The sequence below is a fragment of the Homo sapiens genome, chromosome 1, assembly GCF_000001405.40.
Source record: "Homo sapiens chromosome 1, GRCh38.p14 Primary Assembly".
Classification (NCBI taxonomy): Eukaryota; Metazoa; Chordata; class Mammalia; order Primates; family Hominidae; genus Homo; species Homo sapiens.
Window position 1 is genome coordinate 110,652,746 of NC_000001.11, and position 27,419 is coordinate 110,680,164.

Genomic DNA, 27,419 nt, shown 5'->3' on the forward strand with positions numbered 1-27,419 from the left:
AAAAAGAAAAAGAGTAAGGATCAATATTGTTAAGCACAAAATGAGAACAATTGGTATGTAAAATGTGAATGCTAGAAATTATCCTCTTATGATACAAAAACACTGGGCATACATGGAAAATAAATATTGAAAACAAAATGTTCTTAATATTTGACCATTCTGGATCTAAAGAGGATCCTAACCTACTAGCTTGGGAATATGTGTGTGTGTGTGTGTGTGTGTGTGTGTGTGTGTGTGTGTGTGTATCTCCACACATATATACACACACACACGTGTATATATACATATGTATATATATATGTGCACGCATATATCTGAGAGCAGGGTCACCTACATATTAACATTCATACCCCCCTGACAGTGCTGTGAACAGGGTCATGCACACAATGGATGTCCAATACTTATTTGTGAATGAAATAATGTACATTTGCTGTGCCATAATTTACTCATATAACTAGCACAACGCATAAAGGCACAGACTATTGTGAATAAGTTTTTTCTTCCTTGAGACTTTACTGGGCCTCCAACAGTGTAAGACAGGGAGCAATGGAAGAAACCTAGGGAATGTTGGCATTCAAAAGGCCTGCTAAGTGTAATACACAGAAGTCTTCACTATAGTCATGTGGGAGAATACACAAGAGCCTGCAGAGCTGGTCTCAAAGGCAGCTGATGTTTGAGCTACTGACAACAGCCCAGCTTTTGATGTTTCCTCTTTTGCAAAAAGAAAACAAGGAAAGAAAGGAAGGGAGGAAGGAAGAAAGGAAAGAAGGGGAAGGAAGTCATTTGGAACTAATTAGTAATATGCGCAACAGGATTTTTTTTGGTCTTTTATTGAATTCTGTATATAACATTAGCAAAGAAAACACTTTAAATCCAATGAGAAATTTAAAAAATCAATCAGATGAAAATATCACATAATCAAAACTCACAGATATTTTCTGATATTTACTTAACAAAAGACCCAAAATTATTATGACAAGAACATCAGAGAACATGGTATAAAGCTTATTTCAACTTAATAATATGTAATAAATTAAAACAACTCAATGTCAAAGGATAAACAGAAAAAATAGAATGTTTGATTTTACATCGTATTCAGAATTCCATTATCATCACTGCTTAAGAATGATTATTTCATTTCATAAAAATAATGCTTGCTTATTTGATGAAGAGAACTAAATTCAATGTTAGAAAATTTTAAATTCCAATATAATAAGTTCTAGTTAAATATTCACAGTAACATTGCATTGCTAATCAGTAAAAGTACAGCATGTATCACAGACTGTTGACTTACAAGGGAAAGCAGTAACAGTGTCTCTCTGCTGTCTGAGAAAAGAATAAAAATGTACTATTGTGTCATGAATTGAAAGGAATGTCTTCCTTATTCAAACTAAGCAGTCATATTTTAACTGGGAAAATTCTTAAGTAAAATTTTAAATATATGGAGAAATTTTACTAAATATTTGAATGATGATAAATGTTAGTAATATTGTTATCTAACACTTGATAATCAATTCTTTTTGAATAGTTACAGGAAAATGAGCTTTCTTAAAATAAAGGCAGTTTTTCTCCCCAGTCCCTCTTCTCTGTCCTCCACTAATCACAGAATAAATGTGATGAAATACAGTATGCTGAAAAATGGTCACTAGGTTGGATTTTTTTTTCCTCTGAATCAGAATGGATGCAGTTTCTTGGATTGATTACTGCTTTATTCAACTGTTCAGAAGTCAGTCCTTATGATGGATTTTTAAAAAGGGAGATTAGAAATGTCAGTCAAGAAGATCAACTTTTAGTCTAGCATTCTGACATCAAGTGAATTCAGTGTCTGTGGTCAGGGTGTGCAAACTTATATGTTTAGGTGGAAAATGTTTGAATATCACCCTGTGGAAGGGCTATAGTCTGGAGGTATCTGAAAAGGTCTGACAAGAACAGCAACAATGTCTTTGCACTAAAATCTGAAAATTCCCAATGTAACTTTTAAAATTAAATTTTTGTCAAAGTTTTAAAGATAATGGCAGTGACAGGATAAAAATAACATGACAAAAAGTGAATAGTATAAAGAACATAGGAGGTTTAGAGCCATTTATTGGCCATATTATCTTGGACTAGTCATTTGATCTTTCTAAACCTTGGTTGTTTAATCTCTAAACTTCAGATGACATTAGTACTTCATATAAAGATTTTCAATGCTAAATAAATTATGTGAATGATCTTTGCAAGTATGATGTAAGCAAATCTTATAGTAAACTAACGCTAGACTCTATAAAAAAATTGAGGTGTTGTATTTGTTATTCTGACTTCTGCATAATCTGTATAAGATTTCAAAAATAGATTCTTATAACGTGTAGCATGTCACTTAGAAATACTACATACACTGTTTGCTTTCCCTTGAATGTGTATATATATATATTTATATTTGTGTGTGTGTATGTGTGTAAGAGCTTTTAAACTGAAATTATACCATTCTGTGGGATAGTTTCAAAAATGGTCTATACAGTGCCCTTAAAAGTGAAAAAAGAGAATATTCTTATTTGGCTTATAGTCATACAATTTTATGGCATTTAAGAAAAACACTTTGACAGTTTAAAGTAAACTAAATACTTAACCCCATCCCCACCCCCAAACCCAGCATTAAGAGATCACATATAGAAACAACTTACCAGAAGAGATACTACTATGATTCGTTTATGATGGTCAGTTCACAAATTGTTGTAAGATACAGTATTAACACAATATGCTAGAATCACCATTTATCAAGTTTCATCAGATTTAAAAAAATGGACGAAATCACTTCTCACAAAGATCACAGTAATACATAAGCGACTCAATTACACCTAAAGTGAAAATTCAGATTCATAAAACCAAAATGATCAGATTAAATGTTTTAACTAATTGCTCCACTAGTCAAAATATACATTTCCTTTTATGACAGAGGCCTTTAAAAACTGCCCCCTTTTCTGAATGGAAGGGATATAAGACTAAACTTCTGGACAAATAATCTCAGTATGACAAAATATTTCTGTATTATTCAATTTCCCAAGCATCCAAATTTTAGTATCATTCTAATATCTTTCCATCATAAAACCAAGAACCAGAATATACTGCTGTTTTTCAATAGGTATAGTCGCCTCTTATCTGTGATGTGCAAAAGCTATAACCCTTCTTTACCTAACTATCCACTATTGCCAAACAGACATGTTTGGGTTATCCCTGAATTTTGTTTCTCACTCCTGAGCAAAATGAACTACAATATGGCTGTATTAGGCCTCCTTTGTATTCAAAAACATTCACAAAATTTTGTGAATATTATTTTAAATTATAGTAATTGCTTCTGGGACCAAAAGGACATTAACTTTTTAATGTGACAAAAATGCACCATTACAATCTGCTACAGTTCATCGATAAGCATGATATACTTGCTTCTGATTTGTTACATGTTTATTAAACTACAAAAATTTAAAGAGAAGATTAACTGGAACAGACATTCTGTTTAGGTAATTCACTCAGCATTCAAAGATGAAATGATAAATCATAATAATTTAAAGCCAAGGTCAAAATAAAAGGTAAGATTACTTTTTTTTTTACTTTTTTATGTCTTGCTGAGATCAATTATTAGTATTAGAAACAAGAACATTTGGACTTGCAATCTGTTCACTCAAGTAGAAATATGTGGCATCTTAGTGACTAGAGGGGAGCAACATGTACATATACACATATAACAATGTGAAAACATTATAGAATTCTCAGAGATGAGACATACAGATTACTAAATTTAAAAAGTCTTCACTTTACAGATAAACTCGGGCTCAGAGAAGTTAAAGGAACTTTCCTAGGGCATATGAGAGTTTTTGGCAGAGCCAGCACCACAGCACAGACACCTGCTTAAGCTCTACCAATCTGCTTCTTGTGTAAAAGGAGTCAAGAGATCATAAGGCAAACACTTCTATCACTCCAACCTTTTCCCACCTTCCCCTGCTCCCAGGCTTAAAATGTTGAGTGTGCAATAAGGCTCTGGTACAGTTTTAGCATTTCATAGACAATTTTCAAGTTACCTTAACATTTAACTAAACAAATGCTCTCCCCTCCTTTCTAGCTATTTCATTAATCTGTTTTCATTCTGCAGACTGATTTTTCTACTTTTTTGATCCCATTATAGATCAGTGAAAATTCTAAGGAGAAAGAATCCTATTTCCTTTCATCACAATCAATTTGAAGAATGATATATTTATGATACTTTCAAGGCTTAAATCTTACTTCATGTTTCTTTCCTGCATAAGAAAATCTGGGTACTTAAGTTTTCTTTTTTTTTTTTTTTTTTTGAGAGAAAGTCTCACTCTGTTGCCCAAGCTGGAGTGCAGTGGCATGATCTTGGCTCACCGCAACCTCCACCTCCTGGGTTCAAGCGGTTCTCCTGCCTCAGCCTCAGCAGTAGCTGGGACTACAGGCATGTATCACCATGCCCAGCTAATTTTTGTATTTTTAGTGGAGTTGGGGTTTCACTATGTTGGCCAGGCTGGTCTCGAACTCCTGACACCTTGTGATCCACCTGCCTTGGCCTCCGAAAGTGCTAGGATTACAGGCATGAGCCACCGCACCCGGCCCTGTTTTCTTCAAAGCATTTCTCAAATGTGTATAATGAGAATTTGGGGACTGGTAAGGGCTTTGGAGATCATTGAATCCAGCACGCCCATCTTGCAATTCAAGCCTGCAAACTGAAGCCTAGTAATGTAACAGATTTACCTAAGGTCCCACAGGTAGAAAGTGAATAAATATTCTGGTCTACTGTTATCTAAACCAGTAGCATTTTTACTATCCTTTCTGTGAATCATATTCAGTATAACAGTTTACTCATCTGACACCATCCTGTGCTTTTATCACAAAAATCCAGGTTTTGTCTTTATTTGAAACTGTAACCTGTAATAATAATTCAGATATTAAATATACTATAATGCATACAGTTGTTTCATTCGTGTTTTATAAAGGTAGTTTTTGTGTCTATTTTTGTAACACCTACTGATCCTTACTAAAACATCTGAATATCTAAGACCTCCTGTAACACAGTTGATCAGTTTGTTTCAATCATCCCAGTAGCTAATGTGCATTACTTTACTGTTACCCAGGCTGTGATAATTAGTTATAAGGATTATGTTTGCTGCAATGGACTGACTATTCTCCAGGCCCATATCTCTACTAAATGGGCTAACATAGAACAAAGACAAGGCAGTGGCTAAATTTTCACTTTAATCACAAATCATCTTGACTAAAAGTTCACATAGCTCAAATCTGAGATAGCTGTTAGACTTTCATTTTTTCCTGTAGTGATCTAGTCTCAAAATTTTGACACAAAGAAATTACCAGCAGATTGTGAGACATTCATTGTAGACTTTGCCTCAAAGAAAGTTACCTAGATTGTATCTCTTATTTATCTATCTGTTTCGCTGCAGGTATAAGATTGTTTTAGTTACTGATTCTCATACAATGCAATTCATCACTTTTACTCCATTCTGTAGGGGATCAAAACATTTATAATCTTGGCTTTGCTACTGAAATATTTTTATAGTTACTAAAATTCTACAAGTGCTCTTATTATAACATAGCATGGTTATATATTTAAATAACAGAGGATTGGTTATTTATGCATTTGTTCAGGTATATTTTGAAACTAAAATATGGAAATAAAAAAGGGTTCTATATAATAAATTTTCACAGTTTGACTTTCCATAAGGCTTATGAAATAATATACAAATAGCTACCATTCTGCTGAAATGTCACAGTAAATACATTAATGGCACAGAAGTGAAATGTCCCCAAATGGGAAGCCATCTTCATGACCTCCTAAATCTCTTTTCCAACTAAAACTTTTTTTTAATTGAAAAAGAGTTCCATTTCTAAAAGAATATAAAAATAGAAAATGAGTTAAGGAAACTTTTACATATATAATTTTGAAGGAAAAGCTATAAACATTAGATGAAATATTATATATATCTTTAAGAATGTGCTTTGTCTCACCACACCAAACATCCCATGAAAACAAAATTAAATGAATATATTATATATGAACTGTTGAAAGTATAACTAAATGTTACAATTTTAATTAAGATAGAATATTAAAACATGTAGTAAGTACTAACACATTTTTGTCAAGTTCAGCTCAGCTAAAACCTATAAGGCTAATTTGCAAATTTATCATTTTGATTAAAAAATAAAAGAATGTTTAATCAAGCAAGGCACATTTCTTTTAGGCAAGTCTGTCTTTAATACCATTCATTTGGGCACAGTGTAGACTTCACTTATTTATATGTAAATGGGCTAATCTATGTATGAGAGCCTTTGGTACAAAACACACCTTCACAAATAAAGTTGCACATAACCCAGAACATGGAATATAACACGACTATATCTCATGATTAAACACAGTCCACTACTTAATTGAAAAAAAAAACACAAAAAACAGTAATAGTTGGCTTGCTAGAAACAAATTTTAGGCTTTCTTTCTGCAGCACTGATTATAGTTTTTGGATGATTCGATTTCATCAAAATGTCAAAAGGTTGCAATGATACCTTAATATTTTTAGCATTCTTCATCTCTTGATGAAATGTCTTTTATATGCACGCATTATGAAGCGAATCCTCCAACTTCAGAGTTGTTCCCTTTATATAAAGCATTTGTTAGAGACATATTATTTAATGTCAACTGAAATAAAAATATGTGCTGGCAGATGGATCACTGCCCATCAGTGATATAACTGCTACTGCATTCTTGATCCAGGCAATTTAAAATGGAGCATCCTACTGGTCAGTGCAGCTCTACAGTTCTTTATATGGGGGGCTCTTCAGGGATCTGTCAGACAGAGTAAACACAATAATTTACTGGTATATTTAACTTTTAAAAAACTATAGACTTTATGTCAATAGAAAATGTTCCATTCATGAACCAGCCCAAATGTCCCCAATGATAGACTGGATTAAGAAAAGGTGGCATATATACACCATGGAATACTATGCAGCCATAAAAAAGGATGAGTTCATGTCCTTTGGAGGGACATGGATAAAGCTGGAAACCATCATTCTCGGCAAACTATCACAAGGACAGAAAACCAAACACCGCATGTTCTCACTTACAGGTGGGAATTGAACAATGAGATCACTCGGACACAAGGCAGAGAACATCTGCCTGTTGGGGGGTGGGGGGCTGGGGGGCTAGGGAAGGGATAGCGTTAGGAGAAATACCTAATGTAAATGACAAGTTGATGGGTGCAGCAAACCAACATGACACATGTATACCTATGTATCAAACCTGCATGTTGTGCACATGTAACCTAGAAGTTAAAGTATAATTTTTTAAAAAAACAGAAAATGTTCCATTCATTATATATTTTTTAAATGTTGCTTTTTAAAAACTGTTACCCTGAAAACCTCAAGCAATTTAATTGTCTAAATGTATTAACTACATATTTCTTTTAATTTGTAAGTTAGAAAACGTTTTGGAGTATGCTGAAATTATAGACATTTTTCTACTAATAATGATCTTGAAATTTAGTCCAAACCAGTGTGATAGTTTGCTTTTGGACACAAAATTTATCTTCAGCCTTAGAATCATCGAAAGGTTCTGAGTGCCTATTGATTTTTAGAAAAATGTATGTGTTAATTTTCTCAGTGTATTTCCAAGGATTTTTTTTCCTGGCTGCCCATCTTACTGTGGTAATCTATGATGAGAACTCTTGAAGTGAATAAAAATCCAACGCTAAGTGTCATGGAGAGAAAAAGAGAGAGAGAGAGAGAGACAAGACACCAAATAAGTGCTGAGAAAACCATGTTCTATGTGCTAATAGGATGACATTCCTATCATTTATCTCTTCATTATAAATAACTTTTAAGTCTGTTGATTCTTTAAAATATGAACTCTGCACAGTTATGTACCATTTTAAAATTTCCCAAATTAAGACAATAATAACCACTTGACCAGGACAAGAAATAAAGGTTAAAGATTTGGTGCTTCCCTTCCTTAACTGCCAAAATAATTATTGAGAAATTCTGATAGCAAAATATTTCTTAAGAAGAGGATAAAGCAATACAATAGACTTATTCACTTCCTACATCCAGAATCTAGAATAGTGTTTGGCATATAGTAGACACTTTATATGCTGAATTAATGAATAAATCTCTATCACCCTGGGTAGTGTCTGACACATAGGAGGTACTCAGTAAATACATGTTGAATACATAAATGGATATATAAAAATTAGATTTATGTATTCTAGAAATTTACTAACTATATAATATAAAGACAGAAATTATAAAGACAAAAATAAACCCAGCTATAAACCCAGATGCTATAAACCCAGCTCTGGGTTTGAATATGTGAATATCATCCATCACAATATGTAGAGAAGACTATTTCCCATATATACTCCTGGTTTTAGCAGGCGCCCAAAACCAGTGGTAAATGCCCAAAGATGGTGATCTGGAATTTGAGTGTGCTTTTGATGGAAGAATCATTCACTTGCTAAATTAAATACTGTATGCCTACTGTGTGCTGGGCAATCAATTAACTATCTATTGAAATTTTTTTCTTATTGGCCTGGATTATACACTCGGTCACCTTGATCTCGCAGACAGATCACTGCTCATCAGTGATTTTAAAAGTCTTAACGCTGATTTTAGGCAAAAAGAAAGAGTACGTTCACAGTATGCTTAATTTTCACTATCAGAGTTTTAAAGTTATAATGGTCTAATAGTTATTAATGACTACTAATCATAAGAAATCACAAGTAACATGAATGACCTAGCATCCATTTTATTTCCTAAGTGCCTAGGTTCTGCTCAATGCTACTGCAGCTTTGCTTACCTTGAGAAGTCTGCATTAAGCTATTCTTGTCTTGCTGCTGTTACATTCTTTTTATATAAAACGGTGGGCCTTAAAAAACAACCTCATGTATTAATACCTGCCTCTCAAGGCTCTTGAGATTATTAAATAAGAATGGTATAAGCATGGCATCCTAATAAAGTATAGGTGTGGAGGGGGTGGTAATTCAACGAAACAAAAATAAAAGTGATATCAGGATAATCATCATAATGTCAGCCGGGCGCGGTGGCTCACGCCTATAATCCCAGCACTTTTGGGAGGCCAACGCGGGCGGATCACGAGGTCAGGAGATCGAGACCATCTTGGCTAACAGGGTGAAACCCCGTCTCTACTAAAAATACAAAAAAAAAAATTAGCCAGGCGTGGTGGCGGGCGCCTGTAGTCACAGCTACCCGGGAGGCTGAGGCAGAAGAATTGCGTGAACCCGGGAGGCAAAACTTGCAGTGAGCCGAGACGGTGCCACTGCACTCCAGCCTGGGTGACAGAGCGAGACTCCGTCTCAAAAAAAAAAAAAAAAAAAAAAAATTCAGAATGTCTATATTAGTGGTTAAGATGTGGGTTGAAAGGCTTAGAAGAATGGACCCAAAATCGATTCTATAAAATGAGAGAAAGGAAGTACAATAGAAAACAGTGACCTATAATTGAAGATAATTTACCAAATAAATGTTCCAACATATAGAACAAGAAAAGAGAATAAGAATAGTCAAATTTCAATAATTATCAAATTTATGAAGAAGTAATTAATACCTCCAAAAGGCCTAAATGAAAGAAGTACAGAAACCTAGCTTACTTAACTGTTAGTCTCATCAACTTACATTTGATGAGAAAAGAGTTGAAGTCATTCTATAGCATGTAGTTATATGGGAACTTTGTTTTCATGTGTCTATATACTTTGACATCTATTAAATTACTTAGTGTTAGCTGCACACCAATAAGTTTTACCAGTTCTACCAAGTAAATGGTAATGAATAAGCTCAAGGACTAGAAAGATTTCTTACTCGATTCTATATAATTCTCTGATTGAGGTCTTGAAAATTATGTACTCTCAGCAAGCAAAAACCTTTAATCTCACTCAGTAATTAAAGTCAGTAATATGTTAAGATGTGAGCTTTTAAAAAAATCTAGAAAGTCATGGGAAAATGAGCTGTGAGGTATAATTGATACTACTTTGAGCCGTATTTAGGTCTACTAATAATAAATATCTTCAATTTATATGGTCACACAATAAAATGCTCTTTTAAAATCAGTTAAAAGGTCTGCAGGGAAAAGATCTACAGACTCTAGGTATAAAGCAATTCAAACAGTTCTTGCTTGGAGTAGTTATTTCTGTCTGTACTTTTTGGTTACCCAGTTAATTTTGCTCTTTAGAAGTCTGACACATAGTCACTCTTGTTTAACAAGCTTTTCATAATAATTTCTTATAGAAGAAATGTATTCATGACTATCTGATATTTTATTGCCCTGTAGTCAGACACGAGGTAAATACAAAATGTAATGGCACATAAGGCTGCCTCTTAAATGTCTAATACCTTGACTAAACAAAGTTACAATAGAAAATCCAGTAAAACCCATAGTGAGTTAAATCATAAAAATAAACAATGTCACAATCCTTCACCCAAAACCAGAAAAAAATAAAACTATAGATTTCAATCCTATATTTTATGTCATTTCTTTAAAAATCCCTAACATTTTTCTCAGAAGAGAAAAATGATCTTTATCCCATGTGAGCTTAACTGCATAAAGTGGCGTAAGGAGAAAGAGTTTCTAATTTCTGCTGGTCTACATATGTAAACTCAGGCACATATGTTAGTTTCAAATTTGTTGACACATTTGGTAAGGAAATTGTGCCACTTCGATATGCAGAGGCAACAGTCAAGTCATTCTCTGGTCTGGTTTGCCTGAAAATGCAGGGAAAGGAGAAAATTCAAAAGGGGTGTGGAGAAAGTTCCTCTCTATTCTTATTAGGAGAAGCCTCATTTCCTACTGCAGAGGAAAGTGCCTTGGTTACAATATTACATAAAATCATGGCACTATCTGCAGTGGTCATATCAATGCTTTAGTTAGTTTCAGTCATTCCATACTATATGTGTTGGTATTTCAATACCGCTAGGAATCTCCCAATACTAAGAACCAAATGCTACTGGATTGCCTTCACCTTCCATTTTATTATTTAGAAGTAGTTTAAGTTTGACCGTTTTATAAATGTCACTCTACAAATCTGCTCTTACTTTTCATTAACTGATTTAAATGTCCCCATCTGCTTTCATGTATGAACAATCACTTCAAAAAATAGCTAATTTTTATTATTTTAAAAAATAGCTAACTTTTAAATGTCATAATTTTAAAATGTAATGTTAATTGCATTTTGCAAAAGATAGTCAGGCCATATCTACAGTGATGTAATTCTGTAATGTGATTCACTAGTGAAATCTAATGTTTGATTCAATCAGCTTCCATAGTAATGAAGACTCCATGGATTTTCAGGACTCATCATTAACTGAAACTGAGACTGAACTTATAGGGAAGTTTCTTAGAATGTCTGCTAGATAGATAAGCCTTTTGTAGATATTACTTGTTCGTTCTGATTTTGCTGTGCTGTCCTGGTCAATTAGTCAACATGTTTATGTTATCATTGATTAAAAGCACTCTATCAGCTATTACGTATGAAAAAACATGGTCTTTGTGAAGCATTCTAACTTCCAGGTATCCTTAGTGACTAGGTACCCTCAATGATATCTCATATAAGGTAACAGTTAAGTTACTTACATTAAAGGATTGCATCCCCATAATTGGGTGGTGTAATATTTCTTGTGGAAAACTTGCTGGAGCATGTTTTCGCAAATGCAAGCCTTCTCCAGTGAACTGATTACAAGGAATTTTGTCCTTCAGAGCATGATGAGGAGTGTAAGCCACATAGTGATTAAATGAAGCATAGATGCATGACATGAAAATTTTGTTTATAGGTTAAAACACCTCAAATTGGAAGGCAATTTCCTTCCTCTCATCTCTCCTTCCAATAGATATTTATTGGGCACCAACTGTATTTCAGGTACTATGCCAGGTCTTGGGTGATACAGCATACTGAGCAGACAAAACTCCTTGTCCTCATGGAAGGGAATGGAAAACATACAATAAACAAAATAAATAAAATACCTAATACATTAGAGGGAAAAATAAGAAGAGAAAGGATATAGAGAGTGTTGTGAGGTTGCAATTTTAGATAGTGTGGCTAGGGAAGGCTTCAATGTGAAAGTTGCACCTGAAGGAGGTGATGGAGGCAGCCACGCAGCTATCAGATGCCAGAACATCCCAGGCAGGGAGAACAATAAATACAAAGACCCCAAGGTGGAGCATGCCTGGTGTATTTGAAGAAGATCAAGGTGGCCAGTGTGGCTGCAGCACAGGATCAAGTGGGAGAGGAGTTGGAAATTAGGTCAAAAGGGTAAGGAGGGCAAAATGAGACAGGGCCTTGCAGGCCATTGTAAAAAAGCCTTTAGTTAGTACTCTGTGTGAAATGGGGTGCCAAATGGTGGTCTTGACACAAAGATGTAATATAACTTGATAAATGTTTTTAAAGAATCACTCTGGTTATGTTGAGAATAGACTCAAATAAGAGGAAGGATGGAAACTGGAGGACCAATCGGGAGGCTACTGTAAAAATTCAGGTGAAGATAACGATGGTTTAGATCAAGTGGTAGCAGTAGAAGTGGTATGAAGTGGTAAGGCGTTTGAAACATTTTAGAAGTGTCAACACAGTGGACTAAATAAGGGGTGTAAGAGAAAAAGAAGAATCAAGGATAATTCCAAGGATTTTACTTTGAGCAACTGGAAAATTGAAGCTGCCAGTAGTGGAGGTGGGGAAGAGGGCAGGAAGTACAGGCTTGATGGGCTAGAGAGGGGAGAAGGACGGAAGCTCAGTTTTGGATATATTAGGTTTGAGATGTCTATTAGATATCCAAGTGGAGACGTCACGTAGGCAGGTGGAAATTCAGTCAGGAGCTCAGGGGAGAGATCTAGCTGGGAGATACAAATTTACATACACAGATAATTTAAAGCTATGAGAATAAGACAGAATGAAGAACGAAGAGATGAGAAAGAACCAGTAAATAAGATTAAGAAGGAGAGGCCAGAGAGGTAGAAAGAAAATCCACAGTGTGGTATCTTGGAAGTCAAATGAAGACAGTCTTCTTAGGAAGAGGTAGCTGACCATACCAAATGCTTCTGATAGGTCAAATTGAAATGAGAACTGAGAAATGACCACTGGGTATCGTTATATGAGGTTACCAGTGACCTTGCCAAGTACACTTTTGGTGGAATGATAGCGGGGTGAGAGCCTTTTGGAGCAGACTCAGGAGAGAGTGGGAAGGGATTCAGTGGTGAACAAAGGGAGAGATAGTCCCCACTCTCATGGAAGAAACAGAAATTAATCATATAACACAAATAAATATAAAATTACAGCTATGTCAAGATAACATACTATATTTAATGCATTCTAAGACCTACATTTTTAGATTTGAGCATCTATGAAATTGGGATGCACCTTAAAATCACTGGTACTTTATCCTTACAATTGGAAATCTTGTAAAAAATAGCACATAAGTAATAGTATTTCTTATAATCAAGGGCATCTTAAATTTAATGAACTACTATACTATAATAGGGGAATTGAAAAAACCAGAGTCATGAGAGATGCCTTGGAGGAGTATTGAAGTAAAAATAGAAGTCAAGAGGTGAGGAGAGAAAGAGGAGGCTGGCAGTGAAATATTTGCAAAGATCCCCATTAGCTTAAGGTGGAAAGGGAGCTTATCCTGTAACTGGAAGAAGACCAGGGTGACTGGAGCACAAAAGAAGGAAGGGAGAAATATAAGCAAAGAGGAGGTAAGGCTAGATATGAGATCATGTGGGGCCATAAAAGCTATGCTAAGCCTTTGAGCCTCTATCCTAAAAACAAGAAGACCCTGAAAGAATTTTAAGTAGGGGTGGGTTATATAATCGGATTTTGGTCTCAAAAAGATCATTCTGGCTACCAGGAAGAGAAAGGGTCAGACTGGCCACAAGAAATGTGAGGATGCCATTAAGAGACCTTCACACTTAATGTAGGATAGAGATGACAGTGTGGATTACAGTGGTCCTGGCAGTGCCACAGTAAAGTGGGCTGTTTTTAGAGATATTTGGGAGGCTAAATGACAAAATTTGGTGATAGGTTGAGTATATTTACTATTTCAGTGAATGTTATTTCATTAATAAATACATTGAGAACACTAGGCAATAAACCTGCATTTTAAGTAAGGCTGGAAAAAAAGAAAAATGATTTGTAAATATTTATGCTGCACATACAGAATGAAAACCAATATTTTGGAAATTCACTAATTTTCAGAAAAAAATGACACCATTTAGAAATATAGACAGAAAGTAAATGTACTGCAGGATAGGAAGTAATCTATGAACAGGTGAGGGGTGTGTGTGTGTGTGTAATAAATTGTCCCCACTGCTTCTCTTCCAAATTAATTATGTTTTAATGTAAAGAACATGTTTAAATGTATAAAAATAAGAACCTTAGGATTCAGAGGGACTTCTATAATGAACAGAAGTTTAAAATAAATGTAATGGAAGACAAATGAAATAACAGTGCTGTCTGATATAAAACATGTAGGCATGATGCTAACTTTCATTCTAAAAAGTGGGTAGGGGCCTCCATAGAGATTCCCAAGAGCCTTTGTGCTATGATATTAGGAGTGGGTGTGAGGTTGGAAGCTCACTGTAAGAGAAAAAGCTTCTCCCCAATCACTATCACCATACTGGAAGGTATGACCCCTGTATCTGCAAAGTCAGAGTCTTGCATGAACAAATTTATTCATAACATTCTTTAGATAGGATGAAATATCATTTTTTTCTCCATTTAAGTGTTATATTGCTAGCAACCAGAATTCCAGGCTTTACTTTACAGGGCAGAGTTCCTATTTCACTCTATTTAGGTTACAACAATAACAACATGGATCCCAAGAAAATGATGGAGGCTCTTTCCCAGATCTCTTCTTAATATGCATTTGATGGCTAATGGTGCAAATTTTAAAACAGAAGAAAACACACATCTGGTACAAAAGAACCCAGTAAAATCATGAAAACGTTTCTTTTTAAAATGTATTTTCTTCACAATTTTGAAAATTAGCTCACGACATCATTAAAAATCAAGACAAACATCTGAAAGTTTTCTAACCAGTCTGAATCATTTAAATTATACTTGCAAACTGAATATGAGTACATAAAGAATACTATTATCATATGCTATATAGCAATGGCCATTTTCTGGCAGAAAGCTAAGAGCTGAGTCACAATAGTAAGGTCTGGGCTCTGATTGGCTTCTACTCCCTTTTTCCTGCCTCCTTTGATGTACTTTCTCTCAAAGGTTATCAACCACTTCCTAAAGGTATATAAAAACAAGTGATTTCATTAATATATATAGAATTGCCCCCAAACCCATACGGAATAGTACAAAAACCAATAATTGTATCCTCCTTAGTTTAAAAGGCCTAAAACAAAACACAAAGAAAAAGCTCCCACTGTAAAAATGCAGCCCTAAATATCCTCTTCCACATTCTTATGCTCCTCACCTCTATCTCACAGTGTTTCCATAAGTCTTCAGATTATGGGGCACGTGTGCTTCTTTGCATTTCTTAGTGGGAAGGGTTATCACTTCTATTCACAGCTGAGAGGTGGGAAGGACTTGGAACTGCTGTAGAAAATGTTGAAATTTTAAATGTATAGAAGTCAATAAGTTATAGTTATGGTACTCAAAGGAACAGACTACTAGTATATATTATATACATTGTCTTTATATACTATAGCAAAACAAATACTTGAGTATATTATACGCCAAAAAGGTAAATAACAAGTTTTATGCCAACAAACCATAACTTTAAATGTCTTCATACTGTGCATTTAAATTTCAATACTGAAATTTTATTTCAAAGTTTAGAAATAACTGACATAATGCTTCCTCCTATGCGTAGGTGTCTGTGGTTATGTCACCACAGTTGGTGTATCATGTCATTTTAAAACATCATAAAAGAAATAAAACAATAACAATGTTAACTTCCATGTTTCTATCTGGATTCATCAGCTGTAAGGCATATACATTTTTCCCCAGGGTGTTGATGGGTGTGCACTGATCCAGTCACACCTCCTCACATGAATCTCTTGCTATACACAGACATCCGTATATTTCTTCAACACATAAGACGTGCAACTGAGCTCAACAGTGAAGGTTGTAGTTTGGCAAAGCCAGCTGGCATGTGCAAACGTAGGCTCATTAGAATTTTGCTCTAAGCCCAAATCATTATCCATTTTCATTTCATAAATGATTTAAGAACTGAGAGAAGGGTCTGCAGCTATTATGTAGGAAAAATTTTATTTTAATTTCTTTAGAGCACAGATGCCCTTAAAGATCCATGGAGTGGTTAGGTAAGGCAATAATGTCACAAGTTTCAGTGAACTGGCAATCTCATTCTGCTTTTAATACTTCTGTTCTGAATAATTTCTTCCCTCTTAATAAGGGAGAGTCAAAATATTTACATGACTTTCTGGTATGGTTCTTCAGTAAATGAAGCAAAGCATAAGGAGATAGAAAACTAATTTGCATAATGCTATCATCTATTGTTGATTAAAACACATGAAAACAGAAAAATCTTGAAACTGAAAAATATCCATTGTCATAGCAGTTATCACTAAACACTACTATGACTGGTTATACTTTCTAAGATTAAATCTAGATAAACCAACTATAAGAAAATAATCTTTTGTTATTAGAAAAGTCAATCTCTTCATCTTATTTAAATAACTTATATTTGATGCTTATATTTGGTTAAAATACCTGCTTATTTTAAGCAGGTTAATTTTCAGTATACTGAAATGAAATAGGTTTCTGGAGATATGTTATCTACATGAACTCATTAATTAGTGACATAGGCTGAAGCCAAGTCTAAAAGCATAAGAGATTTGTCTTTCAAGTCACCTAATAAAAGTAGCATGGGTTTCAGAGCCAGAATAACCTGGCTTTAAATCATAACTGAGTCTCCTGCTAGCTGTGAAGTCTTAGGGAAATCACTTAACTTTAAGCATCTATTTTATGCCCTCCTAAAATGAGGTTAATAGCACTTACCTTGCGGAGTTGACAAGTGTCCAGGACATGGTTGACTCTTAATAAATGGTAATTATTATTCTTATAATAGAAAGGAAATAGGAAGACACTGATTACTTGTGTATTTCATATTCACAAAACATTGTATTAATTATACAGTGCTTGTGAGTGATGATCACAATATAATCTCTTAGCAAAATCTCTGATGCCGTGTCATGGAATTATTTTTTCTAAGTGTTCTACCTGTATTAACATTTACTATTCACAATAAACCTGTGAGGTACTGTTTATCACCCTCATTTTACAAACAAAGAAACTGAGGCACAGAGAGGTTAAGTAATTTGTTCAAGATCATATACCAGAGTCAGGACTCAAATCCTGGAAATATGACTGCAGAGCTTATGCTTTTAACCACTTTATTAAAAGCCTGGAAATAACATTTATGTAAGATAACAGCCATTCACTCAACAAATATAAAAGGTGCCACATTCTGTGCTAGGCACTAGTACCTAAAACCTTCAAGACACAGAGCTTATATCCTTTAGGGAACTTACAATGTGGTGACTACAAGCAATCATATTACCTCAAAGTTATGAGTCAAAAGCCAGGATATTTCTCTGGATTAAAGAACAAAGGCCCCCTTTAAATTACTGCCATTTAATAACCATAAGAATTATGGCACAACCATAATTTACTTATAGAACTAATCAAGGTTTCTACATCTCCTGAATAAATGTGAATAAAATTGTCATTGCACTTCCTCCATCTCTATGTTAAGAACAGATACAAAAATTATTTTAATGTAATTGTTACAATGTATCTAACATATTATCAAAATGTGTCATAAAAATAATTTCTGGTCATTAAGGGTACCAAACGTTTGGTCAAGAGGTAGATCAATGTCAAAGGTTAACTCAAACAAAAAGCAAAGAAAACTAGATAATGAAGTCCTACTTAGATATACATAGATAAAAACAAATATATGATAAAAAACAAACAACAAATCTATGACCAGGTATATTTAGATTTCTTGCCTCTATTTGTTTGGTCTTTTCCTTCCTCAGCTCTCTCTTATAGTCTCAATCACTATTTTCCTCTCTCTTCAATGCATGCATTATAAATGTACTCCTAACTGAAAATACTTCATGGGCTTTAAAAATAGGGTTACTCTCATTTACTCTGGAAGGATAGAATAGTTATATGCTATTAAAACCAAAAAACAACTGTAGATAATGTATAATTTATATAATGTATATGAAACAGAATGATTATGTTTAAATAAAATGTTACTCTTATTTTTAACCCTTTTTTGTTTCAAAGAACTGTACCACTGCATACTATTAAATAATTATGTAAATTAAAATTGGACCAATAATCTAACAGCAGTAGATTCTGCCATTTATCCTTTTTAAAGGGAAACAGGTTGCTTGGAGGCCAAGTGGGTTAGTAAAAGGAACGGAATAATTTTCAGTTTGGCTTGAGTGAAGGTTATTCTGAAGAGCAATGACTGTTTTTTCATCCTTTTGTAATAAACAATGGAAACTAAACGACAGTTAGCAACATGGAAATCAAATGAGAAAGGTGTAAATTATTTTTAAAAAGACACCAAGCATGTAACTAAGATAAAACTGTTGGTTTGGCAAATACCATCAGTCTATACATGAATGACAGTTCCCTGGCTCTGGATAACAAAAGGGACTGCTCCCAGTAGATCACAGAGTGCTCACCTGATTCTGTCTGTCTTCTGGCAACCCTTGGCATATGGCTGAAACTTGCAGGTGTTCTCCCAAGATCTGGTTACTTCCTGTCCCTCCTTTTAATTGATTGTCTGCAATTCACTCAGTTTTAAACGTGCATCCTTTATTTATTTGAAGTTTATTTAGCTTGTCAAGTGCTGTGATGATGACAGAGCTGTTGTGGGATCTGTATTTTTTTTTTTAAAGAGAAAGCCTGAAGGTCCCTTGTAGTAAGGTTTCAGGCACACTGATCGAATCTCTCATTTGCTTATGTACAGAACACTTTTACATTTGCTTTTAAATTTCATTTGTTGGCTTGAAAGTTCTTGGAGAAAGAAAACTGTAGAGAAGCATCTTTAAAAATTATTGCCTAATAAATGGCATTTAATCCAGATCATGCCTTATTGTGGTTAATATCTAACATTCCAAACACCATATTTTCCTCCTTGATTCAGTCATTATGGAATGACATAATGATTTTCATAGTTAAAAAATGCATTTGGGATTCATTTCACCTCCTTAGAGTCTCAGACTTAACTTTATTTTTTGTGCGGCTTATTCAAACAGTGGTTTTCCTTATGAAATCATTTAAGTAGGAACCATCTGGAAAGGTTACTGTGGAAACGGCAGGGGCTGGGAGGTGGGGCTAGAGAGCAAGAGATGCCATGACAACCTTTTTCGGGTTTCCCAGGAAACATGGGTTGCTATGGAAACTGCATCAGTCAGGTCCGAATTAGTAACTTCCGCTGGAAGGGGTGTCTGCCACTTTAATCTTCTTGTGATACTGCCGAAGCTTATCTCTCAGATGCATTAGGAAATTTTTTGTTTCTCTCAGCAACACTGAAAACATCTGTTTCTAGACTTTGATAGTTGTTGGGGCTGGGACATATGCACAGAACTTCACAGGAATCTGTTAGTCTAATGCTTTAGAAATGCTTAGCAAGCCCGAAAGAATTAAACTAATTAGTCAGATCAGGACATCTTGGGCATTTCCCTTTATTCAAAGTTGTAGAGACACTTAAAATTCCGGGAAAGGGGATTCAAATAGGAATTTAAGTCAAAAACCAAATAACTCATGGTGGGTTTACAAGTCATTATTCTAGTTAGACTCTTCATCCACATATCTACAGGGTAGGCAACCGAAATACATATTCAATAAATAACGTTGAAAGGTCCATCAAACCGAAGCATCATTTACTACGAATTGATGTGCTTAGGAAAGAAACAACTGCCTTTAAAATTCTGAGGTTAAACAGTTACTCTAACTGTTCTTTAGTTTCATTTCCTCCCAGGATGTACTGCTCTTTTTTAAATAGGGCGTGTACTAGAAATGAAGTTTAACGTAAGTCTGTTGTTTACAATGTTAAGAGAGAGAGGGTAAGAGGGAAAAGGAGAGCTGAGAGAATGCAGCCCACTTGCAAAACAGGCACCTGTTTCAGTATGAAGCAGCAGGGAGAGGGAGAATGAAGTGTGCTTTCCACTTCTTCAGGTCCTTTCCTTGATGAATGGTCTGGAAATGTATAAAACAAGGGCATAGGCAGACCAAGGGGGCACGTTCCACACAATACTGAGCACAGCATGTCACTTGTATCACATATTAAACATCGGTGAATATCTTTTTGATGTTGACACAAGAGTTGGGATTATTGTTCGTGGTGCAGGTGGCAGTGGAATTGCCCGTTTTGAAAGGGGTCTGGGGGAAAGCGCTATGGTTCATACCCCCCTCTTCGATCACCATATACTCCGACTTACTCAGAGTCGAGTTACTCCTTGCTTTTCGGAGCTCCTCGGCTGAAGAGGAGAGGTGCTGGCAACTTCCCACGTGCATGTACTGGGATTGCTCTTCCCCTTCTGTCTCCCGGTGGTAGAAGTAATTGAAGTTGGAAACAATCACGGGAACTGGCAATGCGATGGTCAAGACACCGGCGATGGCACAGAGAGATCCCACAATCTTGCCCCCTATGGTCACTGGGTGCATATCGCCGTAACCCACTGTTGTCATGGTTACCACTGCCCACCAGAAGGCATCCGGGATGCTGCTGAAACCTGAAGTGGGGTCGTCTGCCTCGGCAAAGTAGACCGCGCTGGAGAAAAGGATGACCCCAATAAAGAGGAAGAAGATGAGCAATCCCAGCTCCCGCATGGACGCCTTCAGCGTTTGCCCGAGGATCTGCAGCCCCTTGGAGTGGCGCGACAGCTTGAAGATGCGGAAGACCCTTACCAGGCGGATGACCCTCAGGATGGCCAGAGACATGGCCTGCTGTCCATTGCCCTGTCGTTCGGCCAGCTCGGTACCCAGAGTGATAAAATAAGGAATGATGGCCACAATGTCGATCAGGTTCATGATGTTTCGCGAGAAGGTGGCTTTGCTAGGACAAGCGAAGAACCGCACCAGCAGTTCGAAGGAGAACCAGATGATGCACAGCGTCTCCACCACGAAGAAGGGATCGGAGAAGCTGGAGGCTCCTGCGCGGGACCCCGACGTGCTGTTGCCGGCTGCTTCGAATGAGTCCTGCGACGTCGAGGCGGGGTAGTCCTTCTCGTCGCGGAACTCCGGCAGCGTCTCCAGGCAGAAGATGACAATGGAGATGAGGATGACCAGCACGGACACGATGGCGATGCCCCGGGCCGGCCCGGAGCTCTCGGGGTACTCGAAGAGCAGCCACACCTGGCGCTGGAAGTCGCGGCGGGGCAAGGGCCGCTCCTCCTCCCGCAGGAAGCCCTCGTCCTCGCGGAACTTCTCCATGGCCTCCTCGCCCAGCTGGTAGAAGCGGATCTCCTCGGAGAAAATGTCGATGGGCACGTTGACCGGCCGGCGGATGCGGCCCCCGGACTGATAGTAGTAGAGGATGGCGTCGAAGCTGGGCCGGTTGCGGTCGAAGAAGTACTCGTTGCGGAGCGGGTCGAAGTACCTCATGCGCCGCTTGGGGTCGCCCAGCAGCGTCTCGGGGAACTGGCAAAGGGTCTTCAGCTGCGTCTCGAAGCGCAGCCCGGAGATGTTGATGACCACGCGCTCCCCGCAGCAGTCCTGCTCGCCCGCGGCCGGCAGTGAGGGCGGCAGCGGCTCGTAGCGGTCGCAGCCGCCGCCGCCACAGCCGCCTTGAGGCGGGGCCCCTCCACCATCGGCCACCTCCGGCTCCAGCAGGTGGTCCCCGGGCACCACGGTCATGTCGGGCGGCAGCTCGCGGCCTGCGGCGGGCTCCGCGTAGCCGTGGTTCACCAGCGTGTGGGCACCGCCGCTGCTCGCTGGGCGCTGAGGAGGGTGGGCGCGGTGGCGGGCTGAGGGCGGCGGCGGCGAGCGCAGAAGGCTGAGGCGCTCGTCCATGCGGCGGGGAAGAGGCGGCAGCGGTGAGGCCAGGTCGCTCCTCCTCGCGCTCCCCGCCCTTTCGCCGCCTCCGCCCCCGAGCCGAGCCCACCGCCTGTTGCAGCCAAAGCCGCGATGCTCTGTCTGGGTCTGGCGCGGTCAGCCGGGCTCCCGCACGGGGACGCCTCCTCCCTCCTTCTCGCGCTCTCCGCCCCCTCCCCTGCGGGGCGCGCGCCCGCCTCCGCGTCCCCTTAGGATTCCCGCCCACCGCGCGGGCGCGCGTCCCGCTCTCGGGGGCAGCCGCCGGGCCTGCATTTCTTGCAGCCCTCAAGGCCCCTCGGTGTCAGCGAAAGAGCCCTCATGTTGTACCTCGGCGCCCCGCGGGAATGCCCACCCAGCAGAGCCGGCCCACGGGGAGTCAGGCTGCCGGCCCGGGCCCCTAGGCTCCGCCCGCTTCTGGTCAGCGCCCCTCGCCCCCGGCCCGCCTGGCCGCGTCCCAGTCGCCAGGGTTTTCGGCCCGTGGGCCGGGAGAGCTCCCGCCGCGGCCCCGCGGGCGCCGGCCCCCTGGCCTCCACACCCCTAGGTACAGCCCGGGGAGGGCAGGCGGGCCCAGTGTCCAGGGAGGGAGTGCAGGCCAGGCGGGCGCCCTGGGCCAGAGGCAAGCCTGGCGCCGGCATCCCAGGTTCCCTTGAGGGTCGAGGACCGCCAAACCCTGGGGAGGAGCGGGGGTTTAAACAATTTAGCTTCTGCTAGGATGCGAAGCCAAAGGGAGTAATGGGTGCTGATGGGCTTCGCAAACGGAGTCCGAAGGAAATGGATTGTTAAAGGCGTTCGGGCCCTGCTGCTTTAGTGAATAGTTCACACCCGTTTTCGCAGCGGAGATGTCGGCCACTGGGAAGAATCAAGGACCAAGTTTCTGATTGGGATTAGCAGTGACAGCCTGGTCTTTATCCACTACACAGGTTTCCTGTTGGCGGGGAAATAAGAGGAAAAATGGGAAAGGAAATTCACGAAGTCGAAGTTGTGTGGTTAGAAAGTCCAGCTTTATGACTCAAGCCTGTCGTGGAAGGGATGAGAGCAGGACCTGTACCTAGACTTTTTACTTAATATTTTGGCACTGCCCTTGTGGTAGGGAATTTGCAGCGCTCTAGTTGTTAAACTGGAAGGACATTCATTCTGCAACTTGTACCTCTTGCTTGATCTGGGCCCAGAGATAACTTACATGTATCTTCTTTAAACTTATTTTTCCAAATTATTGTGGTTACTTTGAACACAATTTGTTTCCAGAAATTTTAGCAATCTAATATAACTCAACCCTAGGCTTTAAAAAGTCTGTTTTTTATTGTATCATTCAAATCATTTACAGAAGAGGAACTATTGTCTAGACAGCTCCTCACCCACCCAAAGTTAGCTGACAATTCAATTTTAAGTAAGTGATTTGTGGTCAATACTTCCCACCACCACTCCCAACCATGGGGTTCTCTAGGGCACAGAGTAGGTCCTAGCCAACTTATATTTCTAGCAACTACCAAAGTGCCTTGTAAATGGTGGAGACTTGGTACATACTTGTCAGATTGAATTCCCCAAGGAGTGTCTCTTTGCGTTGCTATCTGCTCTGGAGTTTCAACATTTCTTCTTTTTGAGCCCAAGATGCTGCTGTGATTCCTAGGATGAGGAGTGAGGAAAAACTGAGCTCACCATAGAAAACACTGCTCATTTATTCCATAGGATTTCCACCTCCGGCTCTCCTGGGCACAACAGGCACCCATGTCCTTTTATTGTCCCTTCATCTTCCGTTTCACCTCCTGGTCAGTGCCAGACAATGCAGGCAGTCACTTATGTTGTGGAATGGCAAAACTGGGCAACCACGTAAAACTCTTTCTCTTACAAAACTCCAGAACACTGGAATGTGACAGCCACCTCATTATTTTGCGTATATATTTTGAGCTGGTGATTAGAGTAGCAGTATAATCAATCATTCATATATTTAAATCTTAGAATGAGACAGACTGCTTGCTGCAATGATAGCTCATGGAAAGGCAAAGACCCTATTTTTAAAGACCAGATGTTTCATGTACTTCTATGTCTGACTTAGAAAATGATTTATTCCTTCTTTTGCAGGAATTAGTACTGAAATTAATATTAATCAATGGCAAGGAAGACCAGAGCAGAGGATAGTCCTGTGACAAATGGTCACAAGCTTCTCCCAGCTGTGAAATGTCTTTCCTTCATAAGTGACTATTTCCATTCCCTTTCATGTATTTGCCTTGTCTGGAAGACTTTGATTATGTGCTTCTTAGGACACATATAAAGTCCTTACTTTGTATTTGGGGCCCAGAGAAGTTTAGCAATTTGCTTAAGCTCACATAGCTAGTTAGCAGCAGAGCTGGGCCTAAAATCTTGGACCATTTCCAAATCCAGTGTTTGCTTTACTGTATCACACTGTGCAACGCTTGTGTTGATCACTGTGAGTACTTAATATACTAGATTTCTAACAGCAGCCTATTTGCTTCTGATTGCCGACTAGTTCACTTCAATTCATATTTATCTTAACTGAAAACCACTCCTTCTGACGGCTCGTCTGTTGTCTATAGAAAATGAGTTGGTGGGCTCATTCTAGCCCTGTTGGACAGCCGAACCCATCACAACAAATCAATGCCAAAAATGGCATTTCAAGAGGAAAACATAGCATTTATTTAGTACCCCCAACAGAGTAGCTCAAAGTGATTTGAAAATGTCTCATTAATCCTCATAACACCCCTGTGGGATAATAATAATATTATTATAACGTTTAGGCGTAGAACTGTGGCAAAGCCAACAGCTTCTCTGAGCATGTGCAGGATTTCCTCATATTTCAGTCTGCAATACTAGAGCCTGACTAAAACCGTCAGGTTTGCAAACAGCAAGGGTAAATAAATCTTGGTGTTTGGCCTTTCTGTGTTGCTCTAGGCATAGTTTGTGTTTCCTACTGACCACATCAATCCCAGAAATAGTTCACCAGTTGTTTGCCAGATGGTAAGCAGCATTTAGGATTAGCTCAGAAGTGTTTGAGAGTGGGACAAGGCAGGGCTAGAGGTCCTGATCCACAATTACAGATAAATGAATGGAGAAATAGCACCTAGTAACAGTGTAAAAGCGTTCCTATTTCTCCACATCCTCTCCAGCATCTGTTGTTTTCTGACTTTTTAATGATCGCCATTCTAACTGGCATGAGATGGTATCTCATTGTGGTTTTGATTTGCATTTCTCTAATGACCAGTGATGGTGAGCTTTTTTTCATGTTTGTTGGCTGCATAAATGTCTTCTTTTGAGAAGTGTCTGTTCATATCCTTCACCCGCTTTTTGATGGGATTGTTTTTTTCTTGTAAATTTGTTTAAGTTCCTTGTAGATTCTGGATATTAACCCTTTGTCAGATGGATAGATGGCAAAAATTTTCTCCCATTCTGTAGGTTGTCTGTTCACTCTGATGATAGTTTCTTTTGCTGTGCAGAAGCTCTTTAGTTTAATTAGGCCCCATTTGTCAATTTTGGCTTTTGTTCGCATTGCTTTTACTCATGCAGTCTTTGCCCATGCCTATGTCCTAAATGGTATTGCCTAGGTTTTCTTCTAGGGTTTTTATGGTTTTAGGTTTTACGTTTAAGTCTTTAATCCATCTTGAGTTAATTTTTGTATACTGTATAAGGAAGGGGTCCAGTTTCAGTTTTCTGCATATGGCTAGCCAGTTTTCCCATTTATTAAATAGGGGAGTCTTTCCTTATTGCTTGTTTTTGTAAGGTTTGTCAAAGATCAGATGGTTGTAGATGTGTGGTGTTATTTCTGAGGCCTCTGTTCTGTTCTGTTCCATTGGTCTATATATCTGTTTTGGTACCAGTACCATGCTCTTTTGGTTACTGTAGCCTTGTAGTATAGTTTGAGGTCAGGTAGTGTGATGCCTCCAGCTTTGTTCTTTTGCTTAGTATTGTCTTGGCTATATGGGCTCTTTTTTGGTTCCATATGAAATTTAAAGTAGTTTTTTATAATTCTGTGAAGAAAGTCAGGGGTAGCTTGATGGGGATAGCATTGAATCTATAAATTACTTTGGGCAGTATGGCCATTTTCACGATATTGATTCTTCCTATCCATGAGCATGGAATGCAAATTAGTTCAGCCATTGTGGACGACAGTGTGGCGATTCCTCAAGGATCTAGAACCAGAAATACCATTTGACCCAGCAATACCATTACAGGGTATATACCCAATGGATTATAAATCATTCTACTACAAAGACACATGCACATGTATGTTTATTGCAGCACTATTTACGATAGCAAAGATTTGGAACCAACCCAAATGCCCATCAATGATAGACTGGATAAAGAAAATGTGGCACATATACACCATGGAACACTATGCAGCCATAAAAAAGGATGAGTTCATGCCCTTTGCAGGGACATGGATGATGCTGGAAACCATCATTCTCAGCAAACTAACACAGGGACAGAAAACCAAACACCACATGTTCTCACTCATAAGTAGGAATTGAACAATGAGAACACATGGACACAAGGAGGGGAACATCATACACTGGGGCCTGTCAGGGGGTGGGGGAGTAGGGAAGGGATAGCATTAGGAGAAATATGTAATGTAGATGATGGGTTGATGGGTGCAGCAAACCACCATGGCACATGTATACCTATGTAACCTGCATGTTCTGCACATGTATCCTAGAACTTAAAGTATAATAATAATAGAAAAAAGAGCACCTAGTATGTGCACAGCATTGTTCTAGATACTGTGGGGATATGAAGTTTAAACATAGATCATGCCCTCATTGGGCTTACATGCTGTTGAAAAGATAGGATATAAATCCATGAAAATTTTTACAATGCTATTTATTAACAATACATGACAAGAGTACTAGAAATGTTACTTGTGACTATTTTGTCTATTCTAGCCAAGCTGGATGCCTGGCTGTTTCTCAGTTATACTAAATGAGTTCTGCTCTCAGGGTCTTCATACTTGCCCTTCCCTCTGCCTGCAACACTCTTCCTCCAGTTTTTTTTTTTTTTTTTTGGCTCTCTCCATCACTTTAGGTCTCCATTAAAACTGTCAGCTTCAGGGAAGTTGCCTTCCCTGACCACAACCACACTAATTCAAATAGCAATCCTTCCCCGCCTCCGTTTGGTAACTCTCTAGTCTCTTATCTCCTTTATTTTTCTTCATTTCGTTTATTTACTTGACATTATATTTTATATTTATTTTGTTACTTTCTTATTGTCTGTCACCTGCACTAAAAAATAAACTCCTTGAAGGCAGGGTTTGGGCTTTTTGACTTCTGTATGCTCCAGATCTGGAAGAGTACCAGGCACATCGTAGATGCTTAATGGAAGAAAGAA

General features: G+C 38.4%; 1 protein-coding gene across 3 annotated transcripts, besides 3 other annotated features; it reads right to left on the reverse strand.

The window, feature by feature from the left end:
- Window positions 1-814: 814 nt before the first annotated feature.
- On the reverse strand, window positions 815-22,195 carry KCNA3 (potassium voltage-gated channel subfamily A member 3). 3 transcript variants are annotated; one of them, NR_109846.1, is made up of 3 exons: window positions 18,731-19,030; window positions 15,478-15,596; window positions 815-6,841 (listed from the first exon to the last, which is right to left on the reverse strand). NR_109846.1 is itself a non-coding variant. In NM_002232.5 (1 exon), exon 1 carries the CDS (start codon window positions 22,062-22,064, stop codon window positions 20,337-20,339), a length of 1,728 nt encoding a protein of 575 aa, NP_002223.3. In that variant the 5' UTR covers window positions 22,065-22,195; the 3' UTR covers window positions 19,720-20,336. The 3 variants fall into 3 exon arrangements, 1 of the variants encoding a protein (NP_002223.3); NR_109845.2 differs by lacking the exon at window positions 18,731-19,030 and adding an exon at window positions 20,492-20,709 and having other exon boundaries at window positions 827-6,841; window positions 15,478-15,599; NM_002232.5 differs by lacking the exons at window positions 815-6,841; window positions 15,478-15,596; window positions 18,731-19,030 and adding an exon at window positions 19,720-22,195.
- Window positions 21,931-22,030: a silencer, noted in NCBI's record as "silent region_1176". NCBI's record gives its function as "represses an Ori minimal core promoter by ATAC-STARR-seq in GM12878 lymphoblastoid cells {active_cell/tissue: GM12878}" and the evidence as "EXISTENCE:reporter gene assay evidence [ECO:0000049][PMID:35858748]".
- Window positions 22,141-22,190: a silencer, noted in NCBI's record as "silent region_1177". NCBI's record gives its function as "represses an Ori minimal core promoter by ATAC-STARR-seq in GM12878 lymphoblastoid cells {active_cell/tissue: GM12878}" and the evidence as "EXISTENCE:reporter gene assay evidence [ECO:0000049][PMID:35858748]".
- Window positions 22,261-22,320: a silencer, noted in NCBI's record as "silent region_1178". NCBI's record gives its function as "represses an Ori minimal core promoter by ATAC-STARR-seq in GM12878 lymphoblastoid cells {active_cell/tissue: GM12878}" and the evidence as "EXISTENCE:reporter gene assay evidence [ECO:0000049][PMID:35858748]".

What these genes read in the sequence shown, in the direction of transcription:
- KCNA3 (NM_002232.5), bottom strand. Translation starts at nt 22,064, where the DNA reads ATGGACGAGCGCCTCAGCCTTCTGCGCTCGCCGCCGCCGCCCTCAGCC.